Genomic DNA, 23,956 nt, shown 5'->3' on the forward strand with positions numbered 1-23,956 from the left:
CTGGTGGCAGTAGGCTGTGCCTCACTTGGTTCTTATCCTCAGCTGTGGGAGCACTCCCAGCTTGTTCCCCAGTCCCAGCAGCGACAGCCTGAGTTTCCATAATGCCTCAGTAGCTGTTGGGCCCTAGGACATCACGCAGTCTGCCAAAGGCTAGGTTTGAAAATGGTGCCTTGCTGTAGCCACTGAGGTCTCAGGGAGTTGTAGGACCCAGCATGAGCTCCCTCCCTGAAGCAGCTCTGTCCCACAGTCTCCTGGCATCTCCTGATGTTATTTTCAGGGCTGGTGAGGGTTGAGGGAGTCTCCCATGGCCAGAATTGCATGATTTCTTGGTGGGGATGTGGGCCACTGGAAGTTTCTCACTCAGCCTTTCCTTGTGTTGGGAAGTCACTCTTGGCTCCTGACCAATCCCAGCCAGGCAGGCTCCCCCTCTTCCTTTTCCTTAACTCGCTTTTGGTATTTCCTGTTACTTCTCTGTTGAATTCACATTCTCTCTTGGGTAATGTATTCAGAAAGTGACCGTACATTCTTTTGGTTCTTCAAAGTGGAGGAGGTGGGCATAAATTGCATCTCGTCATCCATCTTGAAGCTCCTCTCCATGAAAAAAATATTATTTTTAATAACATTAGAAATCTAAATTGGACAAGAGATGTTCAACACTTGAACACGTAAAACTACAAAATATTGCCAACAGAAATTGTTGAAGATAAATACATTGAGAGATATACCATGTTCGTTGTTAAGATGACTCAATATTGTTAAGATGTTAATTCTCCCCATGTTGATCTATAGAATCAATGAACTCCCAATCAAAGTCCCAGAAGGCTTTTCATAGACATTTGACTATAACAGTACTTGGTTTTATGACTTATTATAGGCTGCAATAGTCAATGCAGTGTGGTATTGCTGTTAAGATAGACAAGTAGATCAGTGGATCAGAATAGAAAGTCTGGAAATAGGCCTGCACAAACGTGGCCAATTAATTTTCAACAACAGCGCCCAGGCAAATTAGTGGGAAAAGGCATAGCTTTTTAAACAAATGGTCCTGGAATAATTGTATATCCATGTGAAAAAAAAATCCTATACTTTTTGTCATTTATAAAAATTACAGTAGATCAGGAATTTCAATCTCTAAAACTCAAAAATATATAATTTCTTGGAGAAAACGTGAGGCGTTCTTTGTGACCGTGTGATCTTGCGTGAGGCAATGTTTTCCTAGTTATGACTTTCAAAGCATTCGTCTCAAAATACACACATTTATACACTGGGCTTCATAAAATTAAAAAATTTCTGCTCTTCAAGATACACTGTTGTGATTTTTTCCTCTGATTTGATATTGAAGTCTCTCTCTGGAAAGAGGTTATAAATTCTAGTTATGATCTGATGGGGCTCCAAGGTCATAGATGTTTACAGTATACTTTAATGGGATTCTTCTTTATCCTGACAGGCAGTCTAATGCCTACTTAGGCACCTGGTCCAACCTGTGACGAGGTGTCCCTTTCACGTGAAACTTGTTTATGCTGGCTGATGTCCTTGTGGCCCTTGTCTGACTGTGTCTAGTTTATTCTTGCCAGGGTGGCCACTCTCTAAGAGAGGCCTGATCAGGACAGGAGAGTTGGGTCTGGGTGTGTGGCTCGGGTGAAACACACAGGAGACAGCACAGCAGAGCATGAAGCAATGGAAGCATTTGTATTAAGTAATATGATCTCAGAGAGAAGAGGACAGCCATGCAGGGCCAGTAGGCAGTGGAAAGCCATGTGGGACATGTGCACTCAACCAGCAGGTGGGGAGCAAGAGAGAGAGAGAGCCAGGGACCGATGCGCCAACACTTTTATTGGAGTCTAGGGCATTACTCAAGCTGGTTTCCTGCAGGGAATTTTAGTTTGTGGGTTTAGATCAAGCAGCCACAAGCTCCGTGGGATCACACTGACTGAGAAGGTGTCAGTGGGGTACATCTGGGCAGTCATTTGGGCTGTGGGGGTAAGTGGGGGAATCAAGTAGGTTGTGTCTAGCTGTCCCACAGGAAGGTGATCACCAGGAGGCTGTGGTGTAAGGCAGATATCTGATCAACCACCTTGAGGACCCGGGAGGAGGTAGAGAACTGGAAAGTTTGTCAAGGATGACCAAGCCCTGCTCCTGGTATAAGAAAGTCCAACCTATATTCAGAATGGATTCTGAGGCAACATAATATTATAAAAATTCACTACATTCTCTTACATGGGTAAGAGAATGGAAAAACAAGCCACAGACTGGGAAAAACATTTGCAAATCACATATCTAATGTATCTAACATGTGTAAAGAACTCTTAAAATGCAGTACTAAGGAAATAAAGAACAAACAAAAATGGCTGCAAGATTTGAACATCCATTTCACAAACGAAGACATGTGACTGGCATATAAGTACATAAATAGATGCTCAGCGTCATTGTCATCAAGGAAATGTGAATGAGAACCACGATGAGAAACCACTCGGTGTAACTGACCATACTAAGTATGGGCAAGGATGGGAAGCATCTTTCATATACTGTTGGTGGGAATGGGAAATGGTACAGTTACTTTGGAAACATTTTGGCAATCAAACCAAGAGCTTATTAAATACGTACCTACCAACATCCCACTAGAAGGTATTTCCCCAAGAGTAGTGAAAGCATATTTCCATACACCTTTGAACAGGAACATCTGTAGCAATTTGTTCATATTGCAAATGTCTATCCATACTTGAATGGCTATACAAATTGTTGTACATCTATATAATGGAATACTGAGTGAAGTGTATCCATATAGGTGTGTACATATGTTAAAACATTTCAATTTGCATATTTACAATATGTACATTTTATTATATGTCAGTTACCTGGCAACCACTCACTTGCCTTCTGACGCTACAGAATTTACTTTCACTGAAAGTTTATATAAATGGAAATGCACAATATATATACTTACGATTTTTGGTCTGGCTATTCTTACTCATCATAACTCTCAAGATTCGTCAGTGCCGTTATGTGTATCAGTAGTTCATTCAGTATTCCATTATATATCTCAAAGCTGATTTTTTTTTTCCCCCAAAGAAAGCAGCATTCCTTTTTGGAGCAAGATAACATTGTCCATAGTCTCAATTATTTTTTAACCATGATGTTCAGTACTCAGTAAAAAATTTTAAAGCATGCTAAAACAAGAACAGTAAGTGAAAGACGAGATAAAAACGTGAGAAATAGACCCAGAGATGATTTGTATAATTGCATTACCAGATAAGAACTTTGAAATATCTAAGATTAGTATGTTTTTTAAAAAAGAGAAACAGACAGAAAAATATATGAAAAGATGGAGAATTTCAAGTGGAATCATCTATAATAAGAATCAAATGGACATTTTAGAATTGAAACATATAGGATCTGAAATTAATAATTTACTAGACATGCCTAACAGAAGACTGAACACAGTAGAAAACAGGCACAGTGCATTGGGAGGCAGTTCAGTGCAGTCAGTCTGTGTTGAAGCACAACAGAAAAAAGGATGGAGTCATTCAAGGTAGAATGCAAGAGGCCTGCAGGATGGAGTCAATGGTCAAATGTCATGTAATGAGCATCCCAGGAAGTAGGGGATCAGAAAAATATTTGAAGACATAAAGATCAGAGATTTTTCTAAAGCATCAAAAGACATTTATATTCAAATTCATGAAACAGCCTACCCTGAAATGAACAAATTAAAAAAGCAAGCAAACAAGCAAGCAAACTTTTCACATCTGGGCATATCATTATTTGTTGCAAACCAAAGACAAAAAAAATCTTAAAAGCAACCAGATTTTAAAATGGTCCATTGCTCTCCAAGGAGCCCAGCCGGCATACGGCACAATCTCGTGGTGGGCACAGCATACACTTCTCTGTGAGGCATGTCGCTGAGTGGAACTGCTGTGTCGCAGGTTACACGGAGCTTCAGCTTTGCTGACTGATGCCATTCTGGCTTTCTCATGTAGTTTGTACTCCCACTAGCAGAATACAGACTGATCTCATATAATGACCATTCAGGCAACCACTTTCCTCCATAATTGCTCTTCAAAAGCTATACCAAGTTTTGGAAAGCAACATCTTCCCCCTTTCTCGCCCAGATAATGACATTTTTGCCCAAAAATATGCTAAATAAACTATATGGAGTAATATTGCAGAAATATGGTTTTGGTTTTAATTTGTAAATCTTAATTTACAATCCGTCACTAATGAGGCTGAGCATCTTTCCATGTGCGATTGGCCATTTGGAGCTCCTCTTTCATGAAGTGCTTTTCTTGGTTTTCAGCCATTTTTCTATTGATGTCTGTGTTATGTATCAGGGATGATCAGGCTGGTCCGAGTTGTTTTCACCACAATTTTCATGGTAGAAAAAAGTGTAGCAAAGTATACAAAAATCTTTAGAGAAAGAAATGATATTCTCAACAGTACATTTGCAACCTGTAAGAACTTGGGAAAAGTGATTCTCACAAGCATTGTTGAAAGAGCTCCTGGAGATAGAACCAGAGGCCAAAAGAGGAATGGAGAAGGGGGGAAGGTCACAGAGAGTGGCGGTGGCCTCCCAGAGGCACAGCGCACAGCGGAGTGAGAAGTTAGGGTGAGGACGGGATTTTAACGTTGCAAGCTTCACAAGGTAGCCATGGTGATGGAGGAGGTCAGTGCACGGCCTGAGCTGCAGAGGCCAGGGCTGGAAAGATGGCCCTGTGCTCTTGGGGCCAACTGATGAGCTAGTAGGGATTTAAGAACATAGTTCAGTGATTACCAGTAAAAGAACCAAAACCAGCTGGATAACCTACTCACGCCAGCAGTGGTGAGGGTGTGAAGATGGCAGTTTCCTCCTCACCCTTGGGGAGCCATCAGTTATTCTCCTTCCTGGACCAGGCCGTGAGCAGGACTTTCACACACACAAAGCACGGAATTCAGTGAGCATAGAAAAGAACTCAGACTCACTGAAAATGGTTGCAGTTTTATAGTTTTAAAACAGTAAAATGATGAGGTAACATTTTTGTGCTTTTCAGTTTGTCAAAGGTTAAAACATTGGAGAGTGAATAGTGTAAGCAGTGGTGTGAAAGAGCCCCTTGTCTACCTTGACAGGGATGTAATTTGCAGAGTCCAGTGTGGAGAAGATTCTGGCTAACACCTCTGAAATAAAAAATGTACAATATTTCACTTTTTGTGCCAAGGTAGCTCTGAATGTGCTGATTCAAAAAAAATTTAAGGTGTTTTGATTGTAAAGAATAACATGGCAGGTATAGAAAAGGCATGAACATTTCACTCCTACCTGTGTAGAAAATTCCTGGATGGACCACCAGGGAATGTTAATAGTGACAGCTCTACCTCTACCTCTACCTCTACCTCTACCTCTACCTCTACCTCTACCTCTACCTCTACCGCTACCTCTACCGCTACCGCTACCCCTACCTCCTACCTCCTACCTCCTACCTCCTACCTCCTACCTCCTACCTCCTACCTCTACCCTCTTTCCACTGTCTCCCTCTGATGCCGAGCCGAAGCTGGACTGTACTGCTGCCATCTCGGCTCACTGCAACCTCCCTGCCTGATTCTCCTGCCTCAGCCTGCCGAGTGCCTGCAATTGCAGGCGCGCGCCGCCACGCCTGACTGGTTTTCGTATTTTTTGGGTGGAGACGGGGTTTCGCTGTGTTGGCCAGGCTGGTCTCCAGCTCCTGACCGCGAGTGATCCGCCAGCCTCGGCCTCCCGAGGTGCCGGGATTGCAGACGGAGTCTCCTTCACTCAGTGCTCAATGGTGCCCGGGCTGGAGTGCAGTGGCGTGATCTCGGCTCGCTACAACATCCACCTCCCAGCAGCCTGCCTTGGCCTCCCAAAGTGCCGAGATTGCAGCCTCTGCCCGGCCGCCACCCCGTCTGGGAAGTGATGAGTGTCTCTGCCTGGCCGCCCATCGTCTGGGATGTGAGGAGCCCCTCTGCCTGGCTGCCCAGTCTGGAAAGTGAGGAGCGTCTCTGCCCGGCCGCCATCCCATCTAGGAAGTGAGGAGCGTCTCTGCCCGGCCGCCCATCATCTGAGATGTGGGGAGCGCCTCTGCCCTGTCGCCCCGTCCGGGATGTGAGGAGCATCTCTGCCCGGCCGCCCCGTCTGAAAAGTGAGGAGACCCTCTGCCTGGCAACCGCCCTGTCTGAGAAGTGAGGATCCCCTCCGCCCAGCAGCCGCCCCGTCTGAGAAGTGAGGAGCCCCTCCGCCCGGCAGCCACCCCGTCTGGGAAGTGAGGAGCATCTCCGCCCGGCAGCCACCCCGTCCAGGAGGGAGATGTGGGGGTCAGCCCCCCGCCCGGCCAGCCGCCCCGTCCGGGAGGGAGGTGGGGGGGTCAGCCCCCCGCCCGGCCAGCCGCCCCATCCGGGAGGTGAGGGGCGCCTCTGCCCGGCCACCCCTACTGGGAAGTGAGGAGCCCCTCTGCCTGGCCAGCCGCCCCGTCTGGGAGGAGGTGGGGGGGTCAGCCCCCCGCCTGGCCAGCCGCCCCGTCCGGGAGGGGGGGGGGTCAGCCCCCCGCCCGGCCAGCCGCCCCATCCGGGAGGTGAGGGGCGCCTCTGCCCGGCCGCCCCTACTGGGAAGTGAGGAGCCCCTCTGCCCGGCCACCACCCCGTCTGGGAGGTGTACCCAACAGCTCATTGAGAATGGGCCATGATGACAGTGGTGGTTTTGTGGAATAGAAAAGGGGGAAAGGTGGGGAAAAGATTGAGAAATCGGATGGTTGCCGTGTCTGTGTAGAAAGAGGTAGACATGGGAGACTTTTCATTTTGTTCTGTACTAGAAAAATTCTTCTGCCTTGGGATCCTGTTGATCTGTGACCTTACCCCCAACCCTGTGCTCTCTGAAACATGTGCTGTGTCCACTCAGGGTTAAATGGATTAAGGGCGGTGCAAGATGTGCTTTGTTAAACAGACGCTTGAAGGCAGCATGCTCGTTAAGAGTCATCACCACTCCCTAATCTCAAGTACCCAGGGACACAAACACTGCGGAAGGCCGCAGGGTCCTCTGCCTAGGAAAACCAGAGACCTTTGTTCACTTGTTTATCTGCTGACCTTCCCTCCACTATTGTCCTGTGACCCTGCCAAATCCCCCTCTGCGAGAAACACCCAAGAATGATCAATAAAAAAATAAATAAATAAATAAATAAATCATATCAAAGTAAAAAGTTTCCAAAAAAAATAAAAAGTTTCAAAAAAAAAAAATAGTGCCAGTGAGCTCTGCATAACAGGAGAGAGTCTTGTTTTCCATTGTTGACATTTTTACTCTTTATATTTAAGTATCTTTTTTTTTTTTCTTTTTGAGATGGAGTTTTGCTCTTGTTGCCCAGGCTGGAGTGCAATGGCACAATCTCAGCTCATTGCAGCCTCTACCTCCTGGGTTCAAGCGATTCTCCTCCCTCAGCCTCCCGAGTAGCTGGGATTATAGGCGCCCACCAATGTGCCTGGCTAATTTTTGTATTTTTAGTAGAGATGGGGTTTCACCACGTTTCCCAGGCTGGTCTCGAACTCCTGATCTCGGGTAATCTGCCTGCTTTGGCCTCCCAAAGTGCTGGGATTATAGGTGTGAGGCACCGCGCCTGGTCTTAAGTATCATTTTGAAGAGTTATGAAAACCACCTAAGCCACAAATAATTTTAAGTCATTATTGTTAGTAAGAGAATTACATATATTGCTACGTTCGTTCCAACTCATGGTATGTTCCTGTTGTTTAGTAATTGGGAAACCTGAGACATGATGTGAAGTAATTCACCTGCAATTTGGGGGTGCCTGCACAGCAGGAATGTTCTGGCACCATGACTGCTCCTAGGAACACAGAATAATAGTCATTAAAATGCTGTAAATAGCAGTGTGTCCTGAATTCACCCACACCCTCTGAAGAAATTATTAGAACCTGTCTCCTGCCTCCTTCCATGAGAGTCCGTGGGTCCCCTAGCGGCGTGCAGCCTGCTGGGATGGAAAGGGCCCGTGCTGCAACTCTGCATAAAGAATTTCCAGCTGTTGACCCTTCCCAACTGCTTCCCTCTCTGAGCCTGATCCTCATCTATAAAAATCATAATAGTGCCTGCTTTTTAATCTGGTAAATACTAGGTATATTGTAATAAGCCTGAACGTTCTTGGAAATCATAAAATGCTTGAAAATAGTTTCGCCTCCTTTTTAAGATTTTGCATGTGTTCATAATCAGTGCCTGTTTCTGGAACGTAATTCATTAGGATAACAGCTGGATCTTGACGTTTCATCTGAGTTTCGTTTTGTTTGAGACAGGGTCTTGCTCTGTTGCCCAGGCTGGAGTGCAATGGCGTGATCATAGCTCACTGCATCCTCAACTTCCTGGGCCCAAGTGATCCTTCCACCCCAGCCTCCTGAGTAGCTGGGACTACAGGCGCGTGTCACCACACCTGGCTAATTTTTTTTTTTTTTTAAATAGAGACTAGGTCTCCCTGTGTTGCCCATGCTGGTCTCAAACTCCAGACCAGCCGTAGCTCAAGTGATCCTTCCGCCCTGGCCCCCCACAGTGCTGGGATTACAGGTGTAAGCCGCTGTGCCTGGCCTCATCCGAGTTTTTTGGAAGTGTTTCCTTGCTGCCTAAATTATATGGTGGGGCCTCCAGGGAACAAAGCGAGTCCCCCTGCTTGGGCCCTGGTGGTCACTGGCATTCCTGCCCACACAGCAGTGGGGGACATCCCAGGCTAGGGCTAATGGCTGTCCACAGGGTAGGGCCTTGCTTCTCCGTCACTTTGCTCCACTAGACAGTAGAGTTTGGTTGGGGTCTGTAGCATGCCAGGCACCTTTGACGCTTCACAAATGTGTTACCAGATTTTTAAAAAGGTATTTCTGCTATAACTGAGGATGTGGACTGTTGCAACAGGAAAAGTTGAAAGCCTTACTAAAGAGATCAGGCTTTGAGGTATAGCTCAGGTAATGCTACCTGCAAGTAAAGGGTAACTTTTTAGCAGACTATAGCAAAGGCGGGGAGAGACTGGGGAGACCTACGGGGGAAGATGGGGGCACCTACAGTTGCAAGGTGGGCACCAGTTGTCAGGAGTTGACAGGAGGGCATAGCCAGGAACAGCTGGTGTCTCCTTACTGGGACATGCTGTGACCTGTAGAATCGTGTCTGACCATTTCTGGAGGATGCAGTACTGAATTCAAGTAACAAGGTGTCCTGTGAACCCCCCACAGTCAGATGGGTGAGGGATGGGGAGGGTCACGCAGGGTGTGGGCGGCGTGCCTGGCATGGGTCCTGCCAAGTTCGTCAGGTAACGTGATACTTCTCCCTTGCTTTTTGGTAGATGGACAGTGTGTCACCCTCGGGGAGCAGGTGGGCTGGCAGGACAGGCGGCCCCAGGCCGGGAGAAGGAGACACTCCCAGGTACTCTCGTCTACCCCTGCTGGTGACCTGCCTGCCCGGCCCCGTTCTGTTCCAGATGATGGCTCACCTGTGACCCTGCCTGCCCTGCCCAGCTTCGCCCCCATGTCTGCCTGTCCCCAACCTCAGTGCTGTCGGCTGACCTACCTCAGCCCACGCCCTGCCCTCTTTTTTCCCACCCCACGGGGCCGATCCTGACTTCTGGTTGCTCCCTTTGCTTGACCGTTCTCTTGAGGTTCTTAACCCTGAACTGCACCCGACTCCCATTGACCTCACTCACTGTGGGCCGCCACGAGGGCCCCTCAGAGACGATGCTAACGGCCTCTCAGATGCTGACCTGCTTCATGTCTATTTCCTTTTACAGGGTAATTTGTAGTGGAATGAGAAAAAAAAGTTGTATTTCTTAAACAACATGATCTGGAGTATGTGGTGACTGTCAACTTTTCATCTATGCAGAATGTTAATGACTCACCAGTCACAGGGCAGTTCTCCTCAGGTTAGAAACACAGTGGAGCTAATGACACATTTCAGAATTAGAAATGGTTTTAGCAATAATTCTAAATGAGGCTGGAAGAATTGAATTGCTGTCCAGATCCAACAGACTTATTCAGCCAACAGTAACCAAATACATGCTCTGTGCCCTGCTCTGTCCTGGGCTTAGAACACAGTGAGTGCACATCAATGGCTGTGTCCCCAGAGCTGGCCGTCCTGTGTGTACTTCATACCTGAGAAAATGAGATGGCATGCTCAGCAGATCAAGGAAGGGGGCATGAAGCAGAGGTCAGGAGTGAATGTGTGTGCACACGTGCGTGTGCATGTGTGTGTCTGCACATGCAAATGTGCATGCATGTTTGTGCATACATAGTGTGTGCACGTGTGTGTGTGATTGCATGTATGTGTGTGATTGTGCACGTAGTGTACCCGCATGTGTGCGAGGGTGAGTGTGTGCATGTGAGTTCATGTGTGCATGAGTGGGTGCATGTGTACATGTGCTTGTGTGCCTATGAGTGCACGAGTGTGTGCATGTGTTTGTGATCGTGTCTTTTCATGTGTGTATGTGTACACATGTGTGCATACATACATGCAGTTGGGGGTTGCCAGTGTTCAATAGGGCCGTCAAGGTTGGCCTTATTAAGAAGGTGATGTTAAAGGAAAGATGAGGGTGTGAGCCATGGATGAGGAGCAATCCGGGCAGAGGAGTCCCCAGCACGAAGGCTTTAAGGTGGAGGACAACCCGGGGCCAGTGTGGCCGGAGCAGAGCGAGCAAGGGAGAGCATCAGGGGCTGAGTTCCAGGAGGTGAGGAGCAGGTCATTTGTGGTCCTGTGGCGTCCTAAGAGCTTTTGCTGTGAGTGGGAGCCAGTGCTTCTTGTCTTAAGCAGAGGTGGGACATGCCAGTGCTTCTTGTCTTAAGCAGGGGAGGGACCTGGGCCGAGTTAGGTTCTCGCCAAATCGCTCTGGTGTCTGGGTAGAGAATAGTCTCTCGGCCGGGCGCAGTGGCTCACGCCTGTAATCCCACCACTTTGGGAGGCCGAGACGGGCGGATCACGAGGTCAGGAGATGGAGACCATCCTGGCTGACACGGTGAAACCCCGTCTCTACTAAAAATACAAAAAAAATAGCCAGGTGTGGTGGCGTGCGCCTGTAATCCCAGCTACGCGGGAGGCTGAGGCAGGAGAATGGCGTGAACCCGGGAGGCGGAGCTTGCAGTGAGCCGAGATCTCGCCACTGCACTCCAGCTTGGGCGACTGAGTGAGACTCCGTCTCAAAAAAAAAGAAAAAGAATAGTCTCTCAGGGGATCCAGTGGGGAAGCAGAGACTGGTGAGGAGGCTTCACCTGGACCCAGGTGAGAGGTGGTCCCGAGGACGTCATGAGAGGGTCAGATTCAGGATCCGTTTTGAAGGTAGGACCTTCAAACAGAGTGGAGGAAGTACTTGTGGGACAGGGGAGGTGAGGTGACTGCGGGGCTCTAGGCCCGATTAGCAGGAAGGACGAAGTTGTGTCCAGCACTTGCATCGAGGGCAGCCAAGGTGGGACGCCGTGCCATTCAGGCAGAGCAGTGAGCACACAGTTGGATAGAGAGACCCAGGAGAGGTGGACTTGTGCCTGTGGACTTGTGCCTGATTGGTCCCTCCATGATGTTTTATGCCGGAAATGGCATGGGTCATCCGGGGGCGTCTGTGGAGAGAAGAGGAGCAAGGACCCAGGCCTGGGGCGCCCCTGCCTTGGCAGGCTGGGATGCAGTGGAGGAACAAGCAGAGTCTGAGCCTAAGTGGCCAGCGAGGGACCCAGGAGACGCAAAAGCTGAGGGCAGTGCCTCATCAGGAGAGGAGAGATAGTCTCAATCCTGTGGACAGGTGGGGTAAGGGGAGAGCCAGGAATGAGCCACCAGAGCTCACACAGGTCCTTGGGGGTCTTGAGCAGTTTTAGACTTGGCGGGCAACAAAAGCAAAAGTGGGGTGCTCTGGAGAGGGAGAAGGACAGCAGAGGGGCTGGGGCAGCAAGGTGGAGTTTTGAAGAGTTTTACTACAAAGGAAAAGAGAGTAGTAGGGGGAAGGAAGCCAGTTTTGAGAGTGGAAGAAACAGTAGGTTGTTTCTGTGTAGGTCACAGCAACCAGCAGAGCTCTCACAAGGGCAGGAGAACCACTGGGGCAGCCTTGGGATGCCCAGGATGGGGGTGGGCTCAGTAGAGGGGCTGGCTGGCCCACCGAGGCCAGCATCTTGCAGTGGCGAAGGTGCAGAGATGGTGGGGTCCATCCCAGGAAGCCCCTCACAACAAGGCTGTGTTGGTCGTCAGCCCAGCGTGGGAAGGGGGAGTTTTGAAGACAGGAATCGGTATGAGATATGCATATTTATATGTTTTTGATGTACGATAAAAGGCAGTTTCATATGGGTCAGTGTAAGGTTTGTGCGGTAGAATTTGGAAGGCTGGGAGCATGGCCAGCCCAGGGAGTGAGTGTGGTCACTGGTGTGTGTGGCCTGCCTGTGGTCTGGTCTGGTGTACACTGAGTCGTTTGTGTTCTCCAGTTGTGTGCAGCTCCAGAGTCTAGGCACGGAATTGACAGAGAGTGAGACTTTAATAGGGTGTGGCTTTTGTCAAGCAAGGACAAGGAACCAAGCGGGTAGCCAGACACAAAGGCAGAGAGGAGACGATGGTCTCGCGGCGTGATCTGGGCTAGGGAAGGAGAGAAGCTCGCGAGGGAGGTGTGCAACAGCCGGAAGGCAGGTGGCCGCCAACAACTTTCTTTTTCCAGTTGGTGGCAGTCATAAGTTAATTTCTGTCGAAGTAGAATACAACTAAGAAAAAATTTTAAAATACAACTACCTCTTCAGCTTAGAGAATAGTACTACTTGGTTTCCCTGGTAACTGCCAACCGCTTGACTGACTGCACAGCAAGTGTTAGGTCGTGGCACAGGGTAATTACAGACAACAGAGAAATTGCAGGGTAAGGCTTAAATAATCCTAAAGCAACTATGTAGTTAGGTCCTGCTCCTGAAAGCAAGGATGCAGTTCATTTCCAGCCCTGAGCTGCACTCAGGAGCTGGGCCTCATGCCCAGTCCCCATCCTTAGGGCAGTGCCCGCCCTCAGGCTGACAGCCTTTCCTTTCCTTGCTCCAGTCGCTTGGGTGTGAGTCCTGCTTCTCCCATTTTCTCTGTGCTGGGACCTCAAGGCAAGCCGACTGCAAGCCCACCTGGCCCAGGCCACTGCAGGGCCACCCTTCGCAGGGCCAGGCTGTGAAGCAGTTGGAGGCGAGGCCCGGGGCTCCAGGCTACTGTGTTGAGATTAATCTTACCAACTAGAACTTTAAAAATTGTGTTTCCAGCCTTTATTTGAAAGTGGGAGAAACAGTAGCTTGTCTCTGTGCAGGTGGCAGCAACCCGCAGAGCTGCGGCAAGGGCAAGAGAACCGCTGGGGCAGCCTTGGGATGCCAGGAGGGGCGGGCTCAGTGGAGGGTCTGGCTGGCCCACCGAGGCCAGCGTCTGGCAGTGATGAAGGTGCAGAGAAGGTGGGGGCCCTCCCAGGAAGCCCCTCTGGGATAAGAGGTTAGCTTATCTATTGTCTGTGGAAAGAAAACTTAAATAGAGTTTTCTTTTTTAAAAAAGACAGCACAAGTCAGTCTTCTGGTGATTGTAACAGGATGGTCACCTGAGAACAGTCATCTACTGACACCCTGAACCAGAATCTCCAGAAAAGACAGAAATTTTGAAACAGCAGCAACAACAGAAATTCATGATGTGCTAGGAGACAGGGATGACTGCAGTCAGAGGACCAGATGTCTTGATTGATTATTAAGAGAGAGAAACAGGCGATGTTTGTGGAATCACATCACCACAGAAGACATGCAGACAGGCCTAATGCAGAGAAGAGTGGAAGTTAGGACGCTCAGCGCAGATTAATGGACTCAGGGAGTTGGAGAGGGCTGGCTGGCAGCACTTACTCAGAGGAGCAGAGCCAGGTATCCCCCTCAAACCCCCCGGCTTTGGGCCCAGGCAGTCAGAAGTTGTGTCGGGGCCAGCCACCAACTCCAGTGAGGGACAGGGAGCCACTTCCAGGAGATGAAACATTGTCACATGCAGTCCAAAGACACCCCTCCTTCTCCCTGCTGCAACACCCGAGGCTGACCAAAGTAGACAGGAACAGTATCCAGGATGAGCAAACCAAGCCTCTCTAAAGCAAAACTGCCAACAAGCTGGGAACCACAGCACGCTGGAGGGAAACCAGCAGCAGGAGAAAGCAGCAGCAAGCACAGCAGAAAGAAGACGTGGGGCCGCCTTCCGGACGGAGACTCGGTCAGACACACGGCTCCTTCAAAGGGAGTGCCAAAGGCCTTGAAGAGTAGACGGTCAAAGTGGCACAGCCAGGAAAGCAGGACTCACAGAATGGGCAGCATGAAGAGTTGCATAGCCACGGACTATTGAGAACGCAGACCCAGAACTGTTACCGCACTCAGACGTCAAAAACCGAGAGCTATTCCCGAGCACAGACCGAGGACCAGCGAGTCCAGGACTCGCTGATGCAGAGCTCCAGGACTGACAGGCGGGGAGAGCGAGAGGAAAAGCTGAGGCCAAGCGCGATGCTGAGAAGCTCCATATTCTGTTTAACAGGAGTCTGAGGACCAGGAAAGAGAGAATATTGAGGGGAAGATAATGGAGACATCCTAGAAGATCGTCTCCCCGAGCACAGAGCGCATCACAGGACTGACCAGTATTGAGTGGGCGCGGGGAAAACATGGCTGCCAGGACCTGTGAGGACCGAGTTTCAGATACTGTGGACAGCGGAGACTCCACAGGGGCTCTGCAGGAGGAGACGGGAGGCGATAGCCCCTGCAAAGCTCTGGCTGGTGATTGGCATCAGACTTCTCAATGAGAAACTGTACTCTAGATTTAATTAGAACAGTATCTTCAAAATACTCGGGAAAAATGATTTCAAACCTGGAATTGTAGACACAGACAGACTAGAATTCAAATTGAAGGGCAAAGGAAAAGTGTCTTCAGATAGTGAAGGACTCAGAGGTTACCAGCCTCATCCCTAATACCCTGACAAAACTAAAAAAAAGACAACTATCTATGAAAGAAAACAAGTTTTGATTCCACAAATAATGGAGAGGAAAGCATCCAGTGTAACATGTACTAGTCTAAATCACTGTTGGTGTATATTGGTATGCAAATTAAAATACTATTTGAAATAAAAATCTCAAGCATATGTATCTGTATAATGATGAGAAGGAGAAAAATGAAAGCTTACTAAACTTCAGGGTTTTTTTCAGGGGAAATTTATAGATGCTACTCACGCCCGTAGTATAGAAATGAAGGCTTAAATGGATTAATGATTTACAAGGAACCATTGTAAATGATTTACAAGGAACCCTGGCTCTACAGAAAATTTACAAATTAGCTGGATGTAGTGGTGCGTGCATGTAGTCCCAGCTACTCCAGAGGCTGAGGTGGGATTATCGCTTGAGCCGAGGAGTTTGGGGCTATAGCAAGCCAAGACCGTGCCTCTGCACTCCAGCCCAGGTGACAGAATGAGACCCCACCTCTAAAATTAAGTAAATAGGAGCTCCCTGAGGAATAGGGACAGATGCATGACTTCACATCTTGAACAGGAAAATTTTCAGAACGAAGAAAACCTCATCAATTCACCAAAAGGTGGAGTAGAATGGAAAACATTTGAAATCATAGAAAATATATAAGGCAAGACATTAATTCAAATATGAGGTTAGATTTCTCTATTAAAAGGCAGACCTCAGATTGTCTTAAAAATGACCCAGAGGCCGGGTGCAATGGCTCACGCCTGTAATCCCAGCACTTTGGGAGGCCGAGGTGGGCGGATCACAAGGTTAGGAGTTCGAGACCAGCCTGGCTAACACAGTGAAACCCCATCTCTACTAAAAATACACAGAATGAGCCGGGCGTGGTGGCAGGTGCCTGTAGTCCCAGCTACTTGGGAGGCTGAGGCAGGAGAATGGCGTGAACCCGGGAGGCGGAGCTTGCAGTGAGCCGAGATTGCGCCACTGCACTCCAGCCCGGGCGACAGAGCCAGACTCTGTCTCAAAAAAAAAAAAAAGGACCTAGAAACAGAGAATTTGTTAATGGGAAGGGCACTGAGCAATGCCAGCCACTAGAAAGCAGACCAGCAACGACATTTTCGTGAAAAAGATGAAAGGCATTAAATGGGACAAAGATACTTCACGTTTATAATCCTCTAAGAAGATACGATCATTGTGAACTTTTATGTACATAATTACATAGCTGTGAAATTTATGTAGAAAGAAATTCTAAGAATAAGAGATGGATTAATTCAGTACCATAATGGGAAATTTCAATTGACAAATCAAAGGGACCAGAATGTCCGTATGTTTACGAGGAATTTGAATAGCATTCATAACCCACTCTCTTTTTGGAAGGGGACACAGAGGACACTTGTCTTCTTCTTTTTCTTTTTTTTTTTTTCCCCTTTCCTTTCTTTTCTTTACCTTCTCTCTCTCTCTCCAGGACCATTCACAAATATCTCTGCCATGTATTTGATTTTATAGAAAATCTTAATTTTCAAAAGCAGAAATCATAAAGTGCAGTAAAAGTGGAAAAAAACACAAAATGATAGCCAAAAGTAACCCAGGCGTCATTATATACTTGGGAATTTTGGAATGCCTTTAAATAAAGCATACTGATTAAAAAGTAATGAAAGTGAGAGAATGTTGCACGTCAAACATGAGGGATGCCACAAAAGCAATTCTCAGAAGAAAATGTCAGAAAACCAGAAACATTTACAATGAATGAACTGGCCATATGACTCTAAAGGTTAGAGAAAGACTTAAAACCAATTCAAGATAAAGTAGGAAAAATGAATGAAGATAAAATAGAGGTTAATACAGTAGAGCATGGAAACTTATTGCTTGGTGCAATAAATTCTGAAAAAGAATCAATAAAATACTTAAACTGTTAGCCACTTCGATCAAGAAAGAGAAGGTGTGAAACCTTAAAACTTGGGAAACAGGAAAATAGATACCACTGCAGGTAGGAAGCTGTTAACACTCTAAGAGACTGCTGTTTACAGCCTCTGTGCAAAGAAATTTGGAAATCTAAGTGAACAGTTTTCTACAAAGATGTAAATCAACGAAACTGCCTCAATGTATGTAATGAGTCTGAAAAGACCCGTAATTGTGAGAGTGATTGAAAACGCCAGTCAGAGGGCTGCACTCTCACACCACCTGACGATCCCCTCTGCAGGTGGGTTTCAGCATGTCCCAAAGGGAGGGTCATGTGTGAGGTCTATAAACCATGCTGGTGTACAGAAACAACAAAACTTCTCCAAGTCATCTGATGAGCTCAGCAATATTGTCATGTAGAAATTGTGCAAGAATTGTTAAAAAAAAATCTATAGGTAACTGTACCCTCAGAAAACAGATGTGCAATCATAAGTAAAGTGTTAGAAAATTAAATCCAACCTGCACTTAGTTTTAACTGTTTTTATTTTCATTTAGGAAGAGCTTTTTACAATTTGGTTTGGAGGTTTTGCTGTGTCTCCTGCCTCAGTTTCCTCTTTGGGATGCTGTTCACATGTGTTTGCACTTCCTTGTCTGTCTTCTGTATGTATCACTTCTCTTGAATTCTTTTCATTGCTTTTTTAAAAATTTTTTAAAGTTTCCATTTTTTGTCTGTTGTGTTTATTTGGTCTTTTTGTGTCTTCTAATTTCATCTTTATTTTTGAAATATTTTTCTTTCTATTCCCACATATTTTCTAGTTCTGTGACCTCAGTTGTTTAGTTTTTCTAATTCTGATTTGTATTTTTTCACCTTTTGCACCATTAATGCCTTTTAGGCAATTAACAAATACTTGATTATGGTTTTTGTCTTTTTTGTTAGCATGTTTTTATGGTGTGTTTATTGTCAGTAAAGATGTTATTTAGTTTCTTATTTTCTTTTGTCTTTTAAAAAACTTTGTATGGGGTTTGAATTGTGTGAAATTTGTTTCCCAAACCTCTTAGAATGGAAGCATGATTTATAATAGCATTTCTAATTACATAGCTCTTGAAGGCCCTCTTGTGTTATTTTTATATAAAGTTTAAATACGAGGGCTTAATCAATGAATTTGTAATGTGTCTGGGGACAGGCCATGGAGAATCAGCCGAGAATTAGGTGGTAATACTGGCTCAGTGCTCATGTTCTGATTTTGATCATTGCACTGTGGTTATCTGGATGTTGTTTTGGGGAAACACATGGTACAGTATTTGGGGTGAAAGAGCGTGGTGTATGGGCCTACAGAGATAGTAAATATGTGGATGGACAGATGTATGGATCCGTAGAGAAAGTGAATGTGAATGCTAGATGGATGGATGCATGAATCCATAAAGAAAGTGAATGTGTGCATGGATGGATGAATGCATGGATGGACGAATGCATGGATCCACAGAGAGTGAATGCGTGGATGGACGAGTGCATAGGTCCATAGAGAGAGTGAATGCATGGATGGACAAGTGCATGGATCCACAGAGAGTGAATGCATGGATAGTTGAGTGCGTGGATCTGTAGAGAGAGTGAATGCGTGGATGGACGAGTGCATGGATCCACAGAGAGTGAATGCATGGATAGACGAGTGCATGGATCCATAGAGAGAGTGTAATGCATGGATAGATGAGTACATGGATCCGTAGAGACTGAATGCATGGATGGACAGATGCATGGATCCATAGAGAGAGTGATTGTGTGCATGGATGGATGAATGCATGGATGGATGAATGCATGAATCCACAGAGAGTGAATGCATGGATGGATAAGTGCATGGATCCATAGGGAGAGTGAATGCATAGATGGACGAGTGCATGGATCCACAGAGAGTGAATGCATGGATGGACGAGTGCGTGGATCCATAGAGAGAGTGAATGGATGTGCATGTGGATGAATGCATGGATCCTTAGAGAGAGTGAATACGTGGATGGACAGATGCATGTATCCATAGAGAGTGAATGCATGGATGGACGAATGCATGGATCCATAGAGAGAGTGAATGCATGGATGGATGAGTGCATGGATCCATAGAGAGAGTGAATGGATGCCTACATGGATGAATGCATGGATCCATAGAGAGAGTGAATGGATGTGTACATGGATGAACGCATGGATCTGTAGAGAGAGTGAATGGATGCGTACATGGATGAATGCATGGATCCGTAGAGAGAGTGAATGGATGTGCATGTGGATGAATGCATGGATCCTTAGAGAGAGTGAATACGTGGATGGACAGATGCATGTATCCATAGAGAGTGAATGCATGGATGGACGAATGCATGGATCCATAGAGAGAGTGAATGCATGGATGGATGAATGCATGGATCCATAGAGAGAGTGAATGGATGTGTACATGGATGAATGCATGGATCCATAGAGAGAGTGAATGGATGCGTACATGGATGAATGCATGGATCCATAGAGTGAATGTATGCGTACATGGATGAATGCATGGATCCATAGAGAGAGTGAATGGATGTGTACATGGATGAATGCATGGATCCGTAGAGAGAGTGAATGGATGGGTACATGGATGAATGCATGGATCCATAGAGAGAGTGAATGGATGCATACATGGATGAATGCATGGATCTGTAGAGAGAGTGAATGCATGGATGGATGAATGCATGGATCCATAGAGAGAGTGAATGGATGCGTACATGGATGAATGCATGGATCCATAGAGAGAGTGAATGGATGTGTACATGGATGAATGCATGGATCCATAGAGAGAGCGAATGGATGTGTACATGGATGAATGCATGGATCCATAGAGAGAGTGAATGGATGTGTACATGGATGAATGCATGGATCTGTAGAGAGAGTGAATGGATGTGTACATGGATGAATGCATGGATCCATAGAGAGAGTGAATGGATGTGTACATGGATGAATGCATGGATCTGTAGAGAGAGTGAATGCGTACATGGATGAATACATGGATCCGTAGAGAGAGTGAATGGATGTGTACATGGATGAATGCATGGATCTGTAGAGAGAGTGAATGCGTACATGGATGAATGCATGGATCCATAGAGAGAGTGAATGGATGTGTACATGGATGAATGCATGGATCTGTAGAGAGAGTGAATGCGTACATGGATGAATGCATGGATCCATAGAGAGAGTGAATGGATGTGTACATGGATGAATGCATGGATCTGTAGAGAGGGTGAATGCGTACATGGATGAATGCATGGATCCATAGAGAGAGTGAATGGATGTGTACATGGTTGAATGCGTGGATCTGTAGAGAGAGTGAAAGTGTGCATGGACGAATTCATGACACACAGATGGGCCGGAATATAAGTAATTGGATAAATGAGGTAAAGGATATGTAGATGTTCTTTTTAATGCTTGTACACTTTTTTCAAGGTTTGAAATTATATCACAATAACAAGTTGTCCGATGAGTACAGTAGTCCCCCTTTGTCCACAGTTTCACTTTCTGTGATTTCAGTCACCCATGGTACAGTATAGTGAGATATCTTGAGAGAGAGAGACCATATTTACATAACTTTTATTATGGCATATTGATAAAATTGTTCTGTTTTATTATTGTTAATCTTCCTCTGTACCTAATTTATACATTAAAATTTATCATAGGACAGTTTATAACAGGGTTTGGTATAGTCCATGGTTCCAGGTAGCCACTGAGAGTCTTGGAACGTACCCCTCTTGGATAAGGGGGGAGGGCTGCAGAATGAATTCTTCAGCCTTCTCCTCAGAACAGATCTTCTGCAAGACTTTGGCAGATGATGCTGTGACCCCGGTGTCACAGGCCAGGTGGACGGCCAGGCCAAGGTATCCGTGCCTGGTCCTGAGGGGCCAGGCACGCGTCCACGGCAGGGCCACCCAGAGCCTGGGGTGCTGGGAACTGGGCTTTGTTTTAGTTTCTCAAATGCTTTTCTCAAACTGGAATTTTAATTACAACAAAATTAATGCCGCAGAATATGATTAAAAAATAATGAGCTGAGAACAAGCAGCCTCTTGAGGTGATGTCCCTGTGGCTGAGCCCAGGAGGCCTTGATGCGGGCAGAGGCTGTGCTAGCTTCACCAGGTTGGCACCGGGCTCTCCAATGCCTGGTTGCTGGTGGCTTGGACAGCTGTCGGGGAGGGTCCTCTCAGCTCCCGCGCCCTCTGCCCACAGCTTGTTCTCTCACTGTGAGAACCACCCAGTGATGGTTCTTGTGCTGTTCTCTCTTCATGAATCATGGCCTGGCTTCCGTGCAGCTGCCTTTTTGGAGGAGGCTGCAGGAGCACAGAGTAATGGCTGCAGGTGGGGCCTTCCAGAGGCACAGGCTGAGGGGCCAGGCAGCAGTTCCTCTCTTGCAGCTTTTTCTTGGGAGCACCGGGCCAAGCCAGAGGCTCCTGGCAGATCCACCCACAGAGACAGCAGGTCCAGGTCAGGGCTACCCCTCGCACAGCCCAGCAGGATGTGGGAGCAAGCCTGTGCGCCCTGAGCCAGGCCTTCTGTGAAGTGCAGATGATGTCGCCTTTGTAGACAAAGGAAGAGACCTTGGAACCTGAGGGTAAATGGAGAGGCTCTTTACCAGCACTGAACTCTGAGCCCAACTGGCTCCAAACAGGCGTGTTGTGGGCGTGTCCTGAGGTGTGTGCCTGACCTGACCCTGAGGCCCCCTCCCTGCCATGCCTCTAACCCACCCAACACCACCAGCCTTGCTGGTGCCTCCTGCCCTGCCCTCTGCTCTCAGCTGCCTGCCCTGGTCACCTGCCACCCCTTCGTGCTGGGCCCTTGGGCCAAGCACCGCATGCAGCCTGGTGCACACCTGTGCCCTCCTGAGCCTGGGTGAGGTGGCCCTCCCACCTGGGCCATGTGCCTCACTATGCCTAGGCCACAGCCCGGGAGGGAGGATGTCTTTCCCTGACCTCGTTTGTGTGGCCCTGGTGCCCAATGACTGACTTTCCTTCTGCTCCCAGCCCTGCATCCTCCTGGGAGATGGGGTGTTTGAGCATGGGGTTCCCGCCTCCTCCTCCAAGTGACTTTCCTTCTGCTCCCAGCCCTGCATCCTCCCAGGAGATGGGGTGCCTGAGCATGGGGTTCCCGCCTCCTCCAGGACTTGTTGCCCGTTCTGCGTGGCCACCCGTTCTTGCCAGCATGCCCACTCGCTCTGACCTTGGAACGTGCTCTGCTATGGCCACTCTCCAACTCTGGCAATGGCACCAGCCATCATTCTATCACCTGTGACTTCCCCACTCACCCGTCCTGTCGTGCCACCTGCAGCACCCACAGCCTGGCTCTCACTGCCACTGCGTCCTGTGGGAGAAGGTCACATCCACTTCCCTGTGTGGATGGGGGTGTCATGAGGACCCTGGAGTGTTCTGATGGCCAGCCTTGTGGGGACCCTGGCTGCTAGCCTTGCCTTAGCTGCTCCTCTGTCCCCACTCACAGCCCCGGTGGCCAGTCTGTCTGAGTCCTGCCCTTGTCTACCCACCTCCTACAAGACAGCCAGTGTCTGGGCTGGCCCCTCCCTGCTGGCTGCAGGGCCCCTGGGTGCACAAGGAGCTGCAGAGGAGCAGATGGCGGCAGCTGAGGCAGCCACAGGGACAGGGCCACAGACACACTCAGGTTCCATGGCCTTGGTACATTTGCTCTTCTTGACATGGGTTTCAGAGAGGGGCCACCATGCCATGCCCACAGCGTCTGGCCAGGTGCTGGTCACTGACCCATCTTCACAGCATCTGGCCAGGTGCTGGTCACTGACCCGCCTTCACAGCCGCACTTGTTGTGACATACTTGATTCAGTAGATCCTCCTGGATGCACTCTGCTTATATGCCTTTTGCTCATTTTCTGCCTTTAGCTGCAGTATTCTTTGGAAGGAATTCTGGGCAGTATGTGCTGTTCAGATCCTGTCACTGCATTTGCTAATTTGTTGCATTAGCAAGTATTTGGCTTGTGCATGCAAGACAAGGTTAAATAATCCAGTGTGGAAATAGAAAAACAGTATGTGGAGATCCAAACCCATATAATTACTCCCCATGATCTACTCAGTTTAATCAGATTCTGCAGGTTAATCATGTTTGTGATCTCATGGTGCACATCCCTCCCGAACATCTCAGCGTCATCAGTGGAGCCGCTCGGTTGTCCTGTGACACTGACTGTCCCTCTGTGGCTCTCGGGGTCTCCCCTCCTCTTCCTTGAGGGCATCGTCATGATTCAGCAGTGACTTCTGGGCTGGGTGGTTAGCGGGGCTCCCTCCTTTACCCTCAGACCCCTTGGATGCCATCCTGGGCAGAGGCCTTGGCCCAGTGCAAGCTCTTTCTGCCCACATTCTCCTGGTAGCGGCTCTGCAGCTGGGCGCTGTTTCTGCCCTGTCATGCAAGTGGGCTGGGTGCAGAGGCTCACAGCTGGGTGCTGGGGCTGGGGGTGAGCTAGCTGTCCGGCCCCTGCGTCAGCACCACCCCTTGCTGTGTTCCTGAAGCGTCCTGTCTTCCATGGTCAGGATGCTCTTTCAAGACAGCCCTGATGGCATCACCTCCCTTCACTCGCCTCTTCTTAGCTTGTTCATTAAAAACAATTGTACTTACTGAGTGCCTACGTTGTCCTGTGCCCGGGCTGCCCAAGGTGGTGTGAGTGTCAGGGCACGTGGCCCAGAGGGCTCTGCAGAGACGGCTCTGAGAGCAAAAGTGAGCCATGCTGGAGAAGGGACAGGAGCCCCTGGGAGACGTAAGAGATGGGGACAGGCTGACGGAGGAGGAGGACCGGGCTGGGGGAGGATGGTGGGGCTCTAAGCAGGGCAGGAGGTCAGATTGTGTGTTTGGGATGTTCCTCTCCTTCATGGGGAGGAGAGGCCCTGAGGGAGGCAGGAGCAGGAGGGGCATCGTGTCCCCAAGGACCCCAGGCAGGGCCTCCAGGGCTGGTGCTGGGAGGAGGCAGGGATGGGAAGGGTCCCCGAGGGCCCTGAGCAGGGCTAACCCTAGGGAAACCACACACAGGCCACGGAGGGAAAAGCTTTTAACCCTTGTCGTGTATAAACGACTCACTAGGTCTTGGTGCATTTTTCATTGATACTCATATATTTACTGTTGAATCTCTTTGAGTTCTTTTTAATGATT

General features: G+C 48.1%; 1 protein-coding gene across 19 annotated transcripts in view, besides 1 other annotated feature; it reads left to right on the forward strand.

The window, feature by feature from the left end:
* The window catches only part of PCBP3 (poly(rC) binding protein 3), a 298,726-nt gene that overhangs the window by 135,280 nt on the left and 139,490 nt on the right, over window positions 1-23,956 (forward strand).
* Window positions 5,475-6,346: an enhancer, noted in NCBI's record as "H3K27ac hESC enhancer chr21:47204393-47205264 (GRCh37/hg19 assembly coordinates)". NCBI's record gives its function as "activates a minimal SCP1, AML or CMV promoter by ChIP-STARR-seq in naive H9 embryonic stem cells {active_cell/tissue: H9 hESC(naive)}" and the evidence as "EXISTENCE:reporter gene assay evidence [ECO:0000049][PMID:30033119]".

Source organism: Homo sapiens, chromosome 21 (genome assembly GCF_000001405.40).
Source record: "Homo sapiens chromosome 21, GRCh38.p14 Primary Assembly".
In the NCBI taxonomy this organism is placed as follows: Eukaryota; Metazoa; Chordata; class Mammalia; order Primates; family Hominidae; genus Homo; species Homo sapiens.